The 20,252-nt window shown below is 41.0% G+C and overlaps 1 protein-coding gene and 1 non-coding gene across 2 annotated transcripts in view; both read left to right on the top strand.

Moving 5' to 3' along the window:
• EXT1 (exostosin glycosyltransferase 1) overlaps window positions 1–20,252 on the top strand; it is a 317,337-nt gene that overhangs the window by 188,774 nt on the left and 108,311 nt on the right. The gene's annotated exons all lie outside the window — the stretch shown is intronic.
• Window positions 2,140–2,197, top strand: SNORD168 (small nucleolar RNA, C/D box 168). Its single transcript, NR_145799.1, has one exon. It is a non-coding gene; the product is annotated as a small nucleolar RNA, C/D box 168 (small nucleolar RNA).

The following is a 20,252-nucleotide window of genomic DNA, read 5'->3' as shown; positions in this document are numbered from 1 at the left end:
GTGCCTGGCAGTTTTAAATTTTGGGCTAAATGACTTTTGCTAAATCACTTTCCTCTTGCATCCTCCTGCTTCTTATATCTATAAAATGAACTGCCCATGGACAATTGCTCAGGATCCAGGCAGTACTAGCATTAGAAAGGGTTGCCTCTTTAGCCCATGATTAGTCCAGTGTGGGCTCTTTGCAGAAAGCAATGGAAACTGGTTAACTCAACCAGAAAAAGAAGTTATTAAGGAATATTGGACGGTACGCAGTATAGACATAATGGTTAGGACTGGGCTGGAGCTGCTGCCTGAGCCCTGTCCAGACAGCCGAGATACACTGGATGTTGGGCAGTGCTTTGGCTGGACATTGAAATGCTGCATCTGATTGGCTAATTTAGTTTCCATTTATATCCCTAACAAGGCAAGGGAAGAGAGAAGCCAGCTTCTCTCTTGTTCTCCTTCTATAATGAGAGACAAACCATGCCTCTCTCAGACACTCACAATGGAGAATTCCTCAATCCTAAGAAAGGTGGATCGGTTACTGACTGTGACAGATGACTGTCATAACTTTCATGTTCACGGAAACTTCTTTATAAAGTTTCTAAATGAAACGAAAACTTGGCTACCAACCTACTCTAGTAACGCAACAACTTGCCCCTCTGTTCTTTTGAGTTCTGGCTTCTGATTGTTTCTCACCACATTGTCAACTCCTTGGGAAAGTACTCTGTATGTTTTAAAGCAAATTGCCAGGGTTTTTGTTTGTTTGTTTGTTTGTTTACTTAGACCTCGGGAGATAAAATTAATCGACCTCTTTAAATACATGGAGGTACCCCCTTTCTCGTTTTTGAAGGGAGACACTTGGGAATTTAGAAATTGGGAGTGTGAGTTCTAAGGGCTGGTGTGGTTTAGATAGCCCATGACAGTTTCAGGAAGGTCCTGGTTTCCTTTCAAGCAAAAGGGGCCACCTCTGAACCAAAGTGGATTATCTCCTGCAGCAGCAAATCCAGTTGGCAGTTGAATTCCTGCAGTTTTATGGGAATTTCAGTGAAACTTTTAAAGCTGTAATTTTTGTAACTGGAGTTAAAAAAAAAAAAAGAAAACAAATCTGAATAAAGCGACATAATCCATTGCAGAGTCTGTACAGTTCTATTTCTTCTATCATGAATGTTTTCCAGGCAGATGAAAAAATGTTTTGAATGTTGAATATATGCAAACATTACAATCAAGGATAATTGTGTCTATGTGCTTTGACTCTCATTTTGCTTTTCTCTTCCTTCATCTTCTCCTATACCCTATAGGAATGTGATCATAGACATAGAAATAGAATTTGCATTTGTATAAATAATGCCCAAGCTGTTTGGAAAAAAGACTCCCTGTATTAGGCACAAGATTTAGAGATGGCATTTTCTGCCTCAAATCTCAGTTTGATTTAGATCATGGAAATAATGCCTTTTATCTGTATGGACATCAGAGTTTACTCAGCCCCTTTCCCTCTGCCCCCTTCATTTGATCTGCACTCTCTAACCTCATGAAGTTGTCTGAACTAGTGTTATTATTCTCATTTTGCCAATGAGTGAATGAGACTCAGAAGAAAGCATCTAGGTTAGAGATTTCTAGGCAATGTTTCTAATGTTTCCTTCAGTAAAATTGTTGTTGCTCTATCAAGTATATGAGCTGGTTGCTGTTTTCTGTCTTTGATGAGTGACAGGATTCCCTTTTATGTGTCTCACTGGGTCTGTCTCCTAGAGGCCTCATGAGACTTAATGAGTAGTATCTGTAAGGTGCTTGAGGATCCCCAGATAAAAGGAGCACCTGTTAGCATTTATGATGGAAGTAGCGGGGCCTCTTGAAAAGCTGTGCCCTTGTTGTTAATAATGCTGGCTAGAGGAGTTGCAGGCGAGGCTTTGCCCAAAGCCTTTATTAGTCATTACTCTCAGGAAATGCAGCCTCACCAGGATGTTACTTTGTAAGCTGTAATGCATTTTTGAAACAGAGAAAGGAATATAAAAACCACCCTTTCGATGCAAAACATTAAAGGATGACCTGTGATGGTGTATTTTACAAATTTGAAGATACAAACTTGTTCCAAATGTACATCCTGTATGTTTAGGGAGGGACGAGGGGAGTCTTGTAAATCCATGCTGGTGGTGGAGTCCTGCTTGATGATGTGTTGGAGGAGCAAACTGGTGGCACCCAAGGCTCTGTTCTGAAGCAGCCACTCCTGTTATCCCAGCACGATTGTGGCTAAGTTATCTTCACAGGGGTGGTCAACTTCCACCCAGCACAATTGTGGCTAAGTTATCTTCACAGGGATGGTCAGCTTCCTCCTCCCTAAAGTAATCCCGAAGATGATAATGCTGACCCACTTCTCCAGGAATTTGGAAAGAGTAACTAATGAGCGACTGTAAGGCGTATTGGTCGTGTAAAGGCATGCTGTAAACACTGATTGCAATAACTAGTAAGAAAGCAGCAGTCCCTCTTCCTTCCCAGGAGAGTTTGCATGATGATTATTTTCTGTGGTGTTTGCTTTGTTAAATGAAAATGTTGCCCGTGCTTAGGAGATAATGCAGGGAAAGAACACAGGAGGGATTTAGGAATGTTTTACTTATTGGTAAGTGATTTTACTGTTGAAGTCACACTACAGATACTGTTAAAAAATTTAAAAATTGGGCCAGGTGCGGTGGCTCATGCCCGTAATCCCAGCACTTGGAGGCCGAGGCGGGTGGATCACCTGAGTTCAGGAGTTCGAGACCAGCCTGGCCAATATGGTGAAACCCCGTCTCTACTAAAAATACAAAAATCAGCTGGTGTGGTGCCATATACCTGTAATCCCAGCTACTCGGGAGGCTGAGGCAAGAGAATCGCCTGAACCTGGGAGGTGGAGGTTGCAGTGAGCCGAGATCGCGTCACTGCATTCCAGCCTGGGTGACAGATTGAGACTCTGTCTCAAAAAAATAAAATAAAATAAAAATTGAATTTTCCCATTTCTGTTGCCTCTCTCTTTGTTCTCTCTTTAACCTCAAACCCCTGTTCCTTCTCATCAGCTCCACCATATCAACTATCAACATGATGTGGCGTGCTCTTGCTTCCAGTTAAACCCGAGAAAAAGAAATCAGGATTTAAAATTCTTCTTAACACATAGTAAATACATAAAATCTACATTCACTGTTTGTAATGTATTATCTGACCTTCTAAATAAAATATAGTTGATTCATTTCATATAATTTGGAATTTAAACCAGGAATATTTATTTAATGGTTAGCTCTTGGTCAGGTGTGGTAGCTCATGGCTTTAATTGCAGCACTTTGGGAGGCTGAAGTGGAAGGATCACTTGAACCCAGGAGTTAAGACCAGCTTGGACAACATGGCAAGATCCCATCTCTACAGAAATTTTAAAAATTAGCCAAATATAGTAGCACGTGCCTGTGGTCCTAGCTACTTGGGAGGGTGAGGCGGGATGATTGCTTGAGCCCAGGAGTTTGAAGCTGCAGTTAGCCGTGTTTGCACCACTGCACTCCATCCTCAGCAACTGAGCAAAACCTTGTCTCAAAAAAAAAAAAAAAAGTTTTAACTCAGATGTTGGCCAAGCGTGGTGGCTCATGGCTGTAATTCCTGCATTTTGGGAGGTCAAGGTGGGAGGACTGCTTGAGCCTGGGAGTTTGAGACCAGCCTGGGCAACACAGGGAGACCCCATCTCTACCAAAAACAACAACAAAAATAGCCTGGTGTGGTGGTGTAATGCCTGTAGTGCCAGCTGTTCTGGAGGCTGAGGTGGGAGGATCACTTGAGCCCAGGAGTTCGAGGCTACAGTGGGATGTGATCACACCACCACTCCAGCCTGGGTGACAAAATGACACCTTGTCTCCAAAAAAAAAAACACCTCAGATGTCTTCTTAATTAATTTTCACTTTAATGAGCATGAAAGTTAAGAAGAGTTCTCCTATTTTGCTATTTTTCTGTAAAGTTGAATTCTTTTTTTCTCCAAGGATGTGTGAGGCTAAAACAAAGGTCTCCACAGGAGAGGTAAGCTGTATTGAATTCTGCTAACAGTAGATTTTTGGAGAGGTAAGCTGTATTGAATTCTGCTAACAGTAGATTTTTTTTTTGCCTCAGGAATATTAGAGGGTTCACTTAGGGGAACTGATCCATGGATATTTCTCATATTCTCCTCCAACAGTGTGACTAACACATCATGTCAGTGGATATTCTCATATGTAATAAGACATCTGCAAAATAGTGCCTTAAAACAACTTTTATAGTTCCTCGAGATCCAGTGCCTTGACTGGGTTGGTTGTTTTTCCATTCCATGTGGCATCTGCTGGGGTCACTCCTGTGGCTGCATTCGGCTGGTAGCTCAGTGGGACGCTCAGTTCGCCTCCATGCAGCCTCTCACGCCCGCTCTGGACTTCCTTACAGTGTGGCAGCTGGGTCCCAAGAGGCAGATTCCTAAAGAGCAAAAGCAGAAGTTTCAGGCCACTTATGGGCCACACTTAAAACAGACACAGTGTCACCTCTGCAGCATTCTGCTGGTCAGAGCAAAACACAAAGCCAGCCTAGATTCAAGAGGAGGGGAAATAGACTTACTTCTGGAAGGAAGAAGCAGCAAATGCAATCAGGGAAGGGAGGAATTGATGAGGCCATCTTGGGAGACTAGCACATTCATGATATCTGTGCAGCATGGTTGTTACTGTCTACATTGAGCCTTATTTCCAACTAAAGGTGATCTGTGGAGCTCCTTTGGGGCAGAATCTATAATATTCCTAATGATACTCACAGGACCTGGCACTGTGTTGGGTGCAGCGCAGAAGCTCACTATTGTTGAGTGAAAGAACATGCAGTGAAATTCTAGAAAGTTGAATGTAATAGAAATCCTATGAAGTAACATTGCTGGGAAATAGGAAATACCAACTTCACATTCAGTGTAGTGACGTCTCTTTTGTTACAGCATCTCGTGCTGTTTAAAGCTGCATTACGGGAGGCTTTGAAGCTCAGCAAGGAAGTCATTTGGCAGATAGCTGTGCTAAATGGAGGCTTATCCCTGGAAAAGGCACAGGACTCCCCACATTAGTGTTCATTATGTCAGGATCCTTGCTGTCAGGTGCCTAACAGTGTGCTGACCAAGTTTTGGTTGTCTGTGTATTTCTGGAACGTAACACATACCACCCAAGGCACATGTTAGGCATTCAGTGAATGCCAGGTTAGTGAGTGGTGGTCAGCAGTGCCTGAATGAGTGACAAGCAGAAAAGGAATATAGGTCCTGTGGACTAACAGCGCCACCCACCAGCTACCTCTGGGATGGAACCTGTGGTTGCTTGTCCAGGCACACCTTCATCTGCTGTTCTGTCTTCTCTACAGTGGAGACCATTCTACTGACAGACAGAAAAGGCAGTGGTACCATACGCACATCAGAAAGTGTGAGTGTGCTGATCATACTAGGTCCAGCCAGAACTTTGCATCTTTGAGGTGAAACCATTCGCTTAGCTAAATGAATATTGCACCTCAAAAATGCTGGTGAGAATTTTACGAAAGCATATTATCAATGAAAATATTAAAGGAGCAGACGTGTTAGGATGTGTTAGGATGAAGGTTTTTTATTTTTATTTTTTGAGATGGCGTCTCACTCTGTCGTCCAGGCTGGAGTGCAGTGGCACAATCTCAGCTCACTGCAACCTCCACCTCCTGGGTTCAAGTGATTCTCTTGCCTCAGCCTCCCAAGTAGCTGGGATTACAGGCACGCACCACTACGCCTGGCTATTTTTGGTAGAGACGGGATTAAGCCATGTCCGCCAAGCTAGTCTCTAACTTCTGACCTCAAATGATCCGCCCGCCTCGGCCTCCCAGAGTGCCAAGATTACAGGTGTGAGCCACAGCGCCCAGCCAGGATGAAGGTTTTTTAAAAAGTCTGTAGTTGTAAGAAGCTATTTATGAAAAGATCTTTACATTGTGGTAGCTTATGAAAATCCTTTTTCTCATCTCCTTTAATTTTCTTTCTATCAGTATTATTACTGATATTACAATTTTGGTAAGATCTAGAGAGAAAAATTGATTGTGATAGGCTGTCTTCAATTACCTATATGTTTCTTCTTATCTATTACCTTCTGAAGTAGCTTTTTCTTAAACGGTATTGTTAAACTTTATTTTTTATTTTATTATTATTACTTTTTGAGACAGAGTCTCACTCTATCCCCCAGGCTGGAGTGCAGTGGTGCTATCTTGGCTTAAGGCAACCTCTGCCTTCTGGATTCAAGTGATTCTCGTGCCTCAGTCTCCCGAGTAGCTGGGATTACAGGCCACCACACCCAGCTAATTTTTCTATTTTTAGTAGAGACGGGGTTTCACCATGTTGGCCAGACTAGTCTCAAACTCCTCACCTCAAGTGATCCTCCTGCCTTGGTGTCCCAAAGTGCTGGGATTACAGGTGTGAGTCACTGCACCCATCCTTAAACAGTATTGTTAAACTTTAAACTGAAATCTGAACTCTCTGTTAAACTGCCTTTTCCAACTTTAATTCCCAGTCATTTTTTAATGCCTTCTATTATTCTTTCTCATTACGTATATGTTGCTATTCTCAAACTCAGTTGCAGAACAAGTACAGGCCTATATCCTGAGAACTATAAATCTCTTGAAGAAAGAGGAGGTCTTGCTGGGTTTTCTGGATAATGGATGTGACTGTGTGGGTGCGCACACCTGTGTGTGTCTGCGCTGGTGCTCTGGGCCCTGGAGACTGGTATCAGAATTACTCTGACCTAAAAATGCACTCTAGATTTTAACACACCTCTGGTAGAAGAGAGGAGGAAACATTTGCAGCATGGAATTATCGGTCCCATTACCACCCAGGTGTCAAGGAAATGAAACTTTTCTATTACAAGATTGCAGTAAATCACACAAGAGGATGACAGCTTCATTAACATGGGTAAAGTTACTGTAATTTATGTATAAATAACTTTTCTGTGTCAAGATATAGTATCATTCAGTCCCAACAGAATAGCATTTTTTCTATAAAAGAAGTGAAATGCCAAAAAAAGCAGTTTCTATCAAAGAAATCCACAAAAGACAACGGTTTCCTGTGATAAAACTGACTTTGACAGAGCCCACAGCACCTCTGCTTTATAGTTTTAAGTTTTTACATTCAGCCAAAACAGAATATTTCAGACTTTATCACAAAGAGTGACTTTTGTTTTGTTTTGTTTTGTTTTGTTTTGTTTTGTTTTGTTTGAGACAGAGTCTCGCTCTGTCACCCACGCTGGAATGCAGTGGCATGATCTTGGCTCACTGTAACCTCCGCCTCTTGGGTTTAAGAGAGTCTCGTGCCTCAGCCTCCTGAGTAGCTGGGACCACAGGCATGCGCCACCATGCCCGGCTAACTTTCTGTATTTTTAGCAGAGACAGGGTTTTGCCATGTTGGTTAGGCTGGTCTCGAACTCCTCACCTCAGGTGATCTGTCTGCCTTGGTCTCCCAAAGTGCTGGGATTACAGGCATAAGCCACCGTGCCTGACCTCAAATAGTGATTTGATATATTGTTTGTTATTTGGTTGTTGAAATAAATATTTTGATTTTTTTATAAGAATGAAAAATTTGAAATAACTTAAATTTCTATCAGTAGGAGATTGATTAAAAGCATTGTGGTACATCCATTTGGTAGAATATTAGGCAGGATTTTAGAAGAATGAGGGAGATCTAAATGAATGCCTATTCAGGTATATATATATATATATATGGTTATATCTATTAAGCAAAAAACAAAAATTTGAACATTCTATGCAGAATTATTCCACTCAAACAATATCAGCAGAAGAAGACTGATCAACTTGTAATAATTAGTCAGCATAATAAAACCATATTGAAATAGTTTCTTAGTGGAATATCAGGGGAACCCGCCCCCAATATTTCAATGTAGATTCTTTCTATCTTCCAAAAGTGTTGGCCGGCTGAGAAATAAAGAGAAAGAGTACAAAGAGAGGAATTTTACAGCTGGGCTGCTGGGGGTGACATCACATATTGGTAGGACCGTGATGCCCACCTGAGCCTCAAACCAGCAAGTTTTTCATTAAGGGTTTCAAAAGGGGAGAGGGTGTAAGAACAGGGAGTAGGTACAAAGATCACATGCTTCAAAGGGCAAAAAGCAGAACTACTAATAAGGATCTAATAAAGATCACATGCTTCTGAGGGAACAGGACAAAGGGCAAAAGCAGAACTACTGAGCACAAGGCAAAGGGTAAAAGCAGAACTACTGATAAGGGTCTATGTTCAGCGGTGCACGTATTGTCTTGATAAACATCTTAAACAACAGAAAACAGGGTTCGAGAGTAGAGAACCGGTCTGACCACAAATTTATCAGGGCAGAGTTTTTCCCCACCCTAGTAAGTCTGAGGGTACTGCCAGAGACCAGGGCATATCTCAGTTCTTATCTCAACCGCATAAGATAGACATTCCCAGAGCGGCCGTTTATAGACCTCCCCCTAGGAATGCATTCCTTTCCCAGGGCATTAATATTAATATTCCTTGCTAGGAAGAGAATTCAGTGATATCTTTCCTACTCGCACGTCCATTTATAGGCTCTCTGCAAAGAGAAAAATATGGCTCTTTTTGCCCAACCCCGCAGGCAGTCAGACCTTATGGTTGTCTTCCCTTGTTCCCTAAAAATCACTGTTATTCTGTTCTTTTTCAAGGTGTACTAATTTCATATTGTTCAAACACACGTTTTACAATCAATTTATACCGTTAACACAATTATCACAGTGGTCCTGACGTACATCCTCAGCTTACGAAGATAACAGGATTAAGAGATTAAAGTAAGACAAGTGTAAGAAATTATAAAAGTATTATTTGGGAACTGATAAATGTCCATATTAAAATGAAATCTTCACAATTTATGTTCCTCTGCCGAGGCTCCAGCCGGTCCCTCTGTTCGGGGTCCTTGACTTCCCGCAACAGTGGAAGATACCTGTATGGGCCATAAACTTCTAGGAGACACCATATAAATTATAGTTCAAAATAAAGAAATCATACCCCGCCACCCTACCCTTAGAAGTTAAGTAGGATATGCTGACTCTTCTGGGTCCTCAGATTGGAAGTCCAGTCCCAGCTTTAATGTTGACACAGCTTTGGTATAGAAGAACTTTAGAGCTAAAGCCTGCCCACCAAAGTTCAAGTCCTGAGGTGGGCAAATTGCCTAATCTTTCCCATATTCAGCTTTATTTAACCTCTGAGTCTTAAATTCCTCACTGGAATGAGTTGTTCATTCTTCCAATGTTGTTATTAAAAGCAAGTGAGATAATGTTTGTGGAATTATTTTGTGAATTGTAATGTGTTCTACCCTTATTACTTATTATAGAGTCATTGATGAAGTAAATCCAAGGAATTATCCTTACCACTTCCTACTTCCCTCCCAGAGTAAGAAGCTGAGAGTAGCAGGCCACCAGATCCTCTCTTTGCTGAGGATGACATTTATGGCATGAATCATGGAGATGGAAACCAGCTCAGGACCAAACTGGGTTAGCGTCTCCTTGGCATTCTCTGGAAAAGAGGCTGTACTGGTTAAAGAGAGTCTCTGCTTTTGATTTTATACTTAACTAATGACAATAGGAAAGAAGATTCTCCACATGGTTTAAAAAAGGGAGATTTTGCCCAGGTCTTTGGAACAGTTGAAGTGTCTGAAAAACAGAAGGAGATACCCTGAACTGCCACTATATACTGGGGCCCCTAGACTGGAGATGAGCTGAAGAAGTAGTTACTGAGGCATTTTCTGTGGTTTGATGTTAATTTCTAGCGAAGGGGACAGGGAAGCTAGGGGAACCAGAACCCTGGCATGCATTGTGTTCTCTTGGACTGTCTGACACCTTTTAAAAAAAATGGAGTCTCTTTCTGTCACCCAGGCTTGGGGGTAGTGGTGCAGTCTTTGCTCACTGCAACCTCCACCTCCCGGGTTCAAGCGATTCTCCTGCCTCAGCCTTCCAAGTAGCTGAAATTACAGGTACACGCGACCACCCAGCTAATTTTTGTATTTTTATTAGAGACAGGGTTTTAACATGTTGTCCAGGCTGGTCTCGAACTCCTGACCTTCAGTGATCCACCTGTCTCAGCCTCCCAAAGTGCTGGGATTATAGGCATGAGCCACTGTGCGCGGCCACATTTTAAGAAATGCTCAGTTGTCCCATTGTTAGCTCTATCACATAAATTTATCCTTGTCTTATTTAGTTCTTATGCACCAATTACCTGGAACCTAGCTCATGGTTTCCAGCATAGCCTCCCTACTGTTATGAGAAATAATTCATAAATTGTGGGAAGAAATTTTTCTTCAGATTGCTCTTGACTTTGGGACATTATATGTATATGCTTTCTGGTGGTCATGTTGTAAAATTGTAGATGATTCACTATTAGGGGATCAGGATCCACTCTAGCCAGAATAAACTCATCACACTTTGTCGCTCCTCCTTGGCCTCTGCCACCCAGTGCTCTGAGACTGTTGATGTGATCCAGGAAGCTGAATGAACACTGGCCCCCAAGTTAGGAAGCCTGCATCCCAGACTCAGCTTGATCTCTTGTAAGCCCATGGTTTTCTCTCCAACAAAGAAGACCACTGAAATTAATTATTTTCAAGATCTCTTCTAGTTCTGAAGGGAGATAATTAGTTTTTAAATACTAAATTGGTACCTACCCATTGTAATAAATAAATAAAGGAATAAGAAAAGGGATAAAGTAAAAAGTGAAAGTTCTCCTACCTGCCCCTTAGGTCCTAAAATAGAAAATTGTAAAGGGTAAATCTCAGGGCTTGAAAATTGTTGAGGCAATCTCTAATGATGGCAAGATCTAGCTCTGTTAGGACTTCTAAGCAGTATTCTTTAGTATACTCTGCTATAGGACAGAACCATTTGCAAGGAAAGGATGTTAATTTGGGTCTCTCTCTCCCTCTTGCAATATGGTGCCATTTTTGATCTCAGAGCCATCGTGCCTCATTTCTAACACCTTGTCTTCAATAGTCTTTTTTTCTTCTTCTTCTTCAGGTGCCTAAAAATTAGCTCTCTTATCCTCTCTCTCTCTTCTACTCTTCTTCCTTTTCCTCTTTTTCTTCTTTTCTCCCTCTTTTTGTGCATTTCTGCAGGGATATCCTAAAAATAACTAAACATAGCTCCCGTGAGAAAGAAGATTCATATTGCAGATTGTGTCAGTGTTTTTTAAAAATAAAATAATTCTGTTGGTGTAATCAACAAATATTTACTGAGTGCTTGCTCTGCAGAAGGCATCAAGCTAAGTACTAGAATAAAGTGTCATGATGTGATATTGAAACAATATTTGCAGCAGGCCAGCTCAGTTCAAAGTGAAAGATGAGGGAGAATTCTGGGTATCCTCGAACCTGGCACTTTTTGCTGAGCTCAGAAGACCCAGGTGTTGAAGAGACTGCTTTTTACAAGCTCGCAGAATAAGTGTTTGAGAAATGTGAAATTTAGGTCCACCGTTGGCCTTCTTTCTGAGGCCAGTCTCAAAGGGTTCCCCATTTGCCCTTAGCTCTTGACTTGCCTTCTCTTGGTGAGCAGGGCAGCTCTCTGAGCTTGAGTGGGCTGTGATGTTGGTTGCTGACTTTTGTCCCTTTTGTAGGCTTCATTGATGGGATTTAGACTCAGTTGCTCATTGGATAGGGAATCGGAACTGGCCATTCAGAATGAGGGAGTTTCATCTCTTGGGTTATTGCGGTTGGAGTAATCACTTATCAGAGCCTCTGCTTTTTTGTGATGGTTAGAGTAACATGCTTCCTGCCACCCTACAGCATACCAGGAGACAGGAGGCCTTTTCTTGTGCCAAGGTTTATTTGGAGCTTATCTGTATTTATGATCTTTTCCTGCCATTGGCTTAATTACACAACTGGGGAAATTTAATTATCAAAGAACTTAATAACACTAAAGAACTTGCCGTGTGCCAGGCACTGGGCTAAACACCCACTGGCACCTGAGGCAAGTGCTGTTAGTCCATTTACAGCTGAGGATGCTGAAGGTTGGAGAGCACGTGTTATTGTCAGGGTCACTTTGCCAGTGAGTCTTGCAGTCAGAAATCAGCCTTGGACAGCTCGACTCTAGAGTTCACGCCCTTCACCTTGATCCTTCTGGCATCATCCATCTCTGCAGCCTGACATCTAACAGATTTAGGCCTCATTGGCCTGTCTGTGGTTACATTGCATGTACCAGTGGCACCCAGCAGCAAAGCTATTTCTGAGACACATACAGAGCATTAGTTGACTATATTGTTTCTCCAGTTCAGGATCATGCGGATCCTGCCATGATTATGTGGAAAGAGTTTGCAAAGTAGAGTCAAAGCATTTGGTCCTGTTGCTAGGCTTTTCTAAGCTTCCGTCAACTCATATGTGAAATGAGGACAATGACACTTGGTGCTTAAATTGTATAACATATGAAGCAGAGACAGGCTCACATATAATTGATTCTCTGTTCATTTAATTTCCTTTCCCTTTTCCCAGTTGACTCTTCTTCCTCCCTCCTCCTATTTCATGATTTTCTCTCTGGCTGTCGCAGTAATTCAGTGTATCTGTTCCCAGGCTGTAGTTCCAAGTAGCAAGAATAAAGCAAAACTAGATGTGTTTTCGGCAGTCTCAAGCTCTCACAGGAAGTTTTTGTTGTGTCTGTAAGCTGTGGTTGGATCCCACACCGGGTGGACCATCTTTCCTGGAGTGGTGGAGAGGAAGGAGTGCCTAGCCAGGAGACAGATATGTCAGTATCTGTAAGGTGACCTACTAGTGGAAAACACTCTTGCTCTTATTTGCCTTCCTCCTGGCAGCCCGGTTTCTTCATCATCAGCAGCCCCCTTTGACCTCCTATGCCCTTACTCGTGTGGTTTAACTGGAGCTTGTGAAAATGATGACTAGTCTATTGTGCATCTGGCTGAGGCATTTAATCCACTGTGGAGACACCCTTATTAGAGGAAATGGAATGCAAGTTATGCTTATCATGGGGATAGTGTATTAGGGCCCATCCTGGACAGCTTGTAAAAGAATTAATGCTGGTGCGGTGGCTTATGCCTGTAATCCCAACGCTTTGGGAGGCCGGCACGGGTGGACCACTTGAAGTCAGGAGTTCAAGGCCAGTTTGGCCAACACGGTGAAACCCCGTCTCTACTAAAAATACAAAAATTAGCTGGGCATGGCAGTGCACAACAGTAATCCCAGCTACTTGGGAGGCTGAGGCAGGAGAATCGCTTGAACCTGGGAGGCGGAGGTTGCAGTGAGCTGAGATTGCACCATTGTACTCCCATCTGGGTGACAGAGCGAGACTCCATCTAAAAAATAAAAATAAAAAAAAATTAATTTACAACCTTTTCTGCAGCAGGATTTCCAGGAAATGAACTGGGAAATGGTGGCAATGAATGATGACAATAAATGATGGCAAATGCATGTACCATCCAACTATGATTTTGTTTCTTTTCAAACTATTAATAGCACCAGCTTTCAGATCCATGTCGGGCCCTCCTTCTCAAGGAACCCTTGCTCAGCTTAAATCTGCTTGTATTGTAAACTTGAAATAAATATAAAAAACATGGGAACAAAAAAATACATATTTTTTGAATTTATTCATTATTCACACAGTTCACTAAATCAAACTAGCATAATCTCTGCTGGTCCACAAACAGGATCACATACATTTACAGTTTTTAAAAGATGTTGGTTCTCCTTTTATTACATACTATTTGATCTCTTTAAACTCCAGTGTTCTCATCTACAATATGGCCTAATATGATGATAAAGATAACATGCTAGAAGTGAATTTTCTTTCTTGTAAATGAAAAACATAGTTTTAAATTTCCAATTGCAACTGAAGGGCCTGATTTGGCATTTCTCAATGTCTTACTCTTAGTTTAGAATAGGTTGCAATTATTGTTCTTTTTTAGCCATGACACCAAGTTATTCATCTATAGCAGCTTTTCTCTTTTTTTTTTGAGACAGAGTCTCGCTCTGTCGACCAGGCTGGAGTCCAACGGCCCGATCTCGGTTCACTTCAACCTCTGCCTCCTGGGTTCAAGCAATTCTCCTGCCTCAGCCTTCCGAGTAGCTGGGATTACAGGCGCGTACAACCACGCCCAGCTAATTTTTGTATTTTTAGTAGAGATGAGGTTTCGAGGTTTCACCATGTTGCCCAGGCTGGTTTTGAACTCCTGGGCTCAAGCGATCTGCCCTCCTCAGCCTCCCAAAACGGTCGGATTATAGGCGTGAACCACCGCACCCAGCCGCCTGGAATTTTTAAGCCTCAAGTTTGTTCCACTTTGAATGCAAGAAGCCACCTGCTCCTCTTTCTGTCATCAATTTAATTGTTTATAAATTGGGGCTAATAACGATTTCCTTAGGCCACTATATTCTTTACCCAGCTAGTTCCAAGTTGTTTTGTGTGTGTGTGTTTTGTTTTTGTTTTTTGTTGGTTTTTTTTGTTTTTGTTTTTGTTTTGAGATGGTGTCTCGCTCTGTTGCCCGGGCTGGAGTGCAGTGACACGATCTTGGCTCACTGCAACCTCTGCCTCCCGAGTTCAAGTGATTCTCCTGCCTCAGCCTCCTGAGTAGCTGGGACTACAGGCATACACCACCATGCCTAGCTAATTTTTGTATTTTTAGTAGAGGTGGGGTTTCACCATGTTGCCCAGGCTGGTCTTGAACTCCTGACCTCAGGTGATCTTCCTGCCTCAGCCTCCCAAAGTGCTGTGATTACAGGCATGAGACACCATGACCAGCAGTTCTAAGTTTTTATCATTGTCTGACCCTATTGTAAAATGAGTTTTTAAGAGACTGATTTGTAAGAGATACAGAATAGTTTTAAGTTTCATTTATTCTTTGTAAATGCAGTTTTGGGAAATAATTCTTTTGAGGGAACATATATCATCCCCCTTAATCCTGTATTACTGATAGCATTTGTTTGCTTAAAGAGTTTTTTTCCAGCACACAGTATTTATGCTCATTTTTGGATACCAAATGAATGTTACCTAAATTAGTGAAACTTTAATGTTTGGCTAAAATGAGCCAGAAAGCTGTTTCTTTAAACTTTAGATCCTATTTAAGAAATAGAAATGTATCCGATGTTTACGATTGCCCTTTAATTTTACAAGTGATGAAGAGGTAGGTATTTGGCTTTTTCAAAAATATTGCAGAGCCAATGCCATCTTACTGTTCAAGTGTAAAAACCCACATGTGGCAGGTGTATTTTATAGGCTTATAAATACCTGAACTTGCTCACAGGCTGATTACTAGACTTTATAGATCGCTTCAAAAAGTGAGAGTTTCCTAATAGTGGATAAATACTTACCCATTAATTTTTTTTTTAAATGTGAATTTAATCAGGAAGACCTAGAATAGATTCTTACCAAGTTCAATGTGGTATGAGAGTAAATCTCACAGCATAATTTATGAATTCATATATAATATGGCAGAACTGATAGCTATAATAAACAGCAAAGTGAGAGCATATTCCTAATTCAGAGTATCTCATTTTCCATTATTAACAATTAATGGAACTTTCCATTTTTAAGTGTCACTACTGAAAGTGTTAGCGTGCTCAACAGTAAGCAGGTGAATTCAGAATGTTATTTTAAGGCAATAGGGTTCCCACTGACAGCAAAAGTCAAAGGATGGACAGGAAGCACACTTCCTATTAGTAAGGGGAACCATCATGATGAAACAGATAGAGGCTTTGTCGATTGTTCTCTCCAACCCTTTGTGCAAGGCTCTGATGCTAGGTACCTAGAGCAAATGTTTCACAGTGTTTGAAAGCTCAGAAAAGTAAGGGTGAGGGTGGAGAGAAGTATGTTGTTAGGGAAAATTGCTAAACTCTTAGATGGACTGATTGCATTCGTTATTAAAAGACTAACAATTCATTTTCACCTTTTTATGTTTGGAGAATAATCAGGATATTAGTAGACTTTGCAGAGGCAGCTTTGTTGTTTGATCTGAGAATTGTTTGGGGGATGGAGAAAAGGAAGAAGGGATACCTTGAGGAAAGCTACATCCTTTATAGAGAAGTCAGGGCTGTATGTAAGTGAATGTGCATGGTCAGCCATGGTTTGGGCCATCTTAATTTCGTGGGGTGAGGGAGATATGCTACAGCAAACTGTTCCTTTTTTCTTGTTTGCTTTCTCTGCTTGGAATTCTGATTCTCCAAATGTTGAGTAATAGCCATTCCAAATTAGTCAAGCAATATTGGATGGGGTTTGTGGGGTGGAGTAAGACCTGTATGACAAGACCTCTGCCTTCTGCTCTGAGATCTGACACCTGCTCATGCCACCATCATTCTCCTTAAAATAGGTGTAAACCATACACCATTCTTTCCCAAGGAGACAACTGCTTTCCCTGTAAGACATTTTTAATTCGTGAATTTTTCAAGTGTTCATGATGTACATCATCTTTCGGTTTTGAGTATACTAGTTGTGTGTTAGAAGTTTAAGATACAGGGTATGAATTCTGTGCTTTAAGGAATTTCGTAGGAAACATTGCATGTGTTAAGACAGATTTGGGATACATTTTCTGAGGTCATAAGGTGTTGGAGAGCTGTCATACTGGAGGATATTTATTCCTGGGAATGACTAATAGATTTCAACTGATGGCAACTTAGATTGATTGGTAGTGGCTTCCTGGACTGCTGTGTTAGAAGAATTCTAAGGGTTCCTAAATTGAATGGGAAATAAATCTATTACTTTAGTCTGTCACAGGCATCAGTCTTATTATCATTATTGCTATTCCTGGTTTGTATATTCTCCTTACATGAAACTAGTTGGGTAGAGACTTAACATAAGCTAGTATTTAGATGGGTTCCGAACTTGTGTTCCAAGAATTAAATCAATCAAAATTAAATTTGAGCATTTGCCTTGTGAGAGATGCTGTGAAAGTAACACATGTTCAAAGTTAAAGTGTTAAGTGAAATAAGACCTTGAATGGTGAGGAATGGTCAAACAACTGCTGTAAGAAATACGAGGGATAGAATACCAAGCCAAGAGTCATGCAAATCAGGGATACTAAAGAATGAGGAAGCAGAGTTGGTTTTATGTAAGCAAAAGCAAATAGCAGGAAGTGTAGCCTTTTTAAAGAAATCTCAGTACCACAGCCTGTTGGGAGAGATTATTTGTGATTGGGAGAAATGGGAGCCATCAGCAAGCGGAGGGGCTTGGAAGTGATGGATTTTTTTCATGGTCTTTTTCTTCTGACTCCGTTCGAGATTATAGGTCCCTAGAAGGTAAAAATCTGGTCTTTCATTCCACAAAGTGTTTTTTGTTTTGTTTTTTTGAGACGGAGTCTCGCTCTTCTCCCAGGTTGGACTGCAGTGGCGCGATCTCGGCTCACTGCAAGCTCCGCCTCCCGGGTTCACGCCATTGTCCTGCCTCAGCCTCCCGAGTAGCTGGGACTGCAGGCGCCCGCCACCACGCCCGGCTAATTTTTTGTGTTTTTAGTACAGACGGGCTTTCACCGTGTTAGCCAGGATGATCTCGATCTCCTGACCTCGTGATCCACCCGCCTCGGCCTCCCAAAGTGCTGGGATTACAGGCGTGAGCCACCACGCCTGGCCTGTTTTGGTTTTTTTGAGACAGTCTCGCTCTGTCACCAGGCTGGAGTGCAGTGGTACGATTTCAGGTCACTGCAACCTCCGCCTCCCCCTTCTACAAAGTTTTATCAAGCTGCCCCCCATGTGCCAGGCACCATATTAAAACAACAGGACTTGGTGTGGACTCTGACCTTGATGATTTTTCAGAGCAGAGTAGGAATGGGGAAGGGAATAATACTTGTTGGTACCTACGTGCCTCTTGAAGGAAGTTACTCTTTACTCCATTATACAGAAGAGAAAAACCAAGGCTCAGGAATGTCAGCTTGCCCACGGTCAGCCAACAGAGCTAGATTTGAATCTAGGTCTCTCCCACTTGGAATTCTGGCTTCTTTTCACCAGAGTTCCTATAAGTACACTTTGATCAAGTGGTATATTTATAGGTCTTTTTGATTTAATTTTTTTCTTTGCTCAGAGCTAGAAATGGAATGTTCTTTTAGTTCTTTTTTGAAAGACACATTTAAAGTCAGCTTTTTTAATTGAGGCATAATATATATCCAAAAAAAGTTCACACATCTTAAATGTCCAGCTTGACCAGTTTTCACAAAGTGAGCACACCCTTTGTTACCACTTCCTAGAGTAAATCCTTCACTTTCTTAAAGTGAGTAGAAACTAACCACAGGGTAATTTTTTTTTTCTTCACACTTTTTTTTTTCCAATTTCTCTGTCCTTCTTTCTCTCTCTCTCCTACTTCCCTCTCCCCAACCTTCTCCCCACCACCCCACTTTTTCCAGCTAAAGCATTCTCTTGGACTTCTTGATAATATAATTTAGTCCCAAGAATTTTCATGAAGCCACCTGGTGTTGGGGGGCAGGTAGTACCCTGAGGTGTACCCCTCTTCTGGGAATCACTTGAGTTATAAGAGGGTAAATGTAAGAGTGACATGAATCATGAGTGTCAATTTAATTCTATATTAAGTCACATCCTAGCATTTATCATATATAACTACAAAGTACCGGCTCCTATGATATTTTAAAGAACATACCCATTTCAATCTTCACAAATATTCTCATTTTACACATAAAGCAATAGGTATGTTTATGCCTTAAAGTGACTTACCTAAAGTAATATACAATCTAGTAAATGGTAGACTTCCTTATACTCATCCATTTTTCCTTAAAATACACCATAGCTGCCTGCGTTTACCTTCATTCTTTGTTAAACATAAGTTTGCATGCTTAAAAATAAAACTAAACTAAGAAGGACATAGGCACATCAGGTTTGTTATAGGAACTGCTTTTTATTTCCCTTTCTTTTTTAGAAAAAGAAATTGGATTCCAGATAATTGTAGTCCTGGAAATAGGACAAAGTTTCATATTTGAGAAGTTATTCTCACGTTTCCAGTTATCCTTAAGAGCTGGTCTTTGCAGCCATGTTTAGTATCACTGTTAGCTTGAAGCTGTTGCAACTGATTTTCTTAGCAGAACCAGAAGTTCCTGAAGATAAGACACATTCTTTATGTTCTAGTTAATTAAAGAACAAATTTTAAGAACTTCAGGTCAGTTACTGTCTCTTGAGTAACGCGTGTTCCTAAGAAATACTTTACAAATTCTCTGAGAATTGGCACAAATGAAGTTCAAGAGAAGTGCATCTAAGAATTTGACTGTTCCCAGCTTCTGCCATTAGAACATCCTTTATAGTTCGGATTTTTTGGCTGAAGGCCTGATTCATTATTTTTAGTTATTTCTCATGTTTTTTCAAACCCAGTAACACTAACATGTTGGTATTGAGCCTGTCCGTACATTCCTGATTAGAGGCGCCATTTAATTTGATATTTTGATAAAGACTGTCTGTGGCAAGTTGTTGTAGGACTAATTTCTCTGGGCAAGCAAGACTGAAGAAAAAGGAGGAAAATGGGAGTTTAATCATTGGAGACTGAAAATAATTTTTAATACTGTCTGACTCCTTTCTGGAATGCCATATTAATTCATGTTTAGTTGAATCCATGATAAATCTTTAAATGTACGTGTGTTTTATTTTAAGAGTTGATTCTAACTCAGGGGTGATCTGCCACTTTGGGAAACTTATACAATGTTCTAATACATTAACAATAAACATAGAGTTTTTAAGTGGAAAATGAGAGTATTTTCTTTTCTCCCTTCATTTACCTGGGTGTTTTGGCTCACCAAAGAGTTGTGTTCTGCAAATGTCTGGGCAATCCATGGAGCTAAACTGGCATTAGAGTCAAGTAACACTCCTCCTCTCTCCCTGTTCTTTTCCTTAAAATCTTCAAAGGCATTGGGGGTTTTACCTTAGCAACTTGCTATTTCGTCTTCTTAGTTTGAACCTTCAAATATAGCTGGATATAATAAAATGCTCCTCAAATGAGGAAGTACCAGAAAGACCAGATGCATGGTCTCATGCTTCCCTTGTGCTGGGCACAGATCTAAACAAAAACAATGTTGTGTCCATATTAAGAGCTTCATAAATACAGATGGAGTGAATGAATGATTTATGACAGTGTAGGTTGTGGAGCTTGGTAGTAACACGCAGAATTCTCAGAATCATGCCTGTCCGTGGAATAAAAAGAAAACAACTTTTCTTTGTAAGGTTAGAGATTTGATGGGAAAATCAAGAACATCTAAGGAGCTAAAGAAAGAAATTCCTTATACCCAGATTGTTGGATGTATTTGCAACATTCCTCTCATTGTCTGACAACGATAAGGATTCTATTTGAAGATAATGTGTGTTAAATCA

The sequence above is a fragment of the Homo sapiens genome, chromosome 8 (assembly GCF_000001405.40).
Source record: "Homo sapiens chromosome 8, GRCh38.p14 Primary Assembly".
Classification (NCBI taxonomy): Eukaryota; Metazoa; Chordata; class Mammalia; order Primates; family Hominidae; genus Homo; species Homo sapiens.
This window is presented reverse-complemented; position numbering and strand designations above follow the sequence as displayed.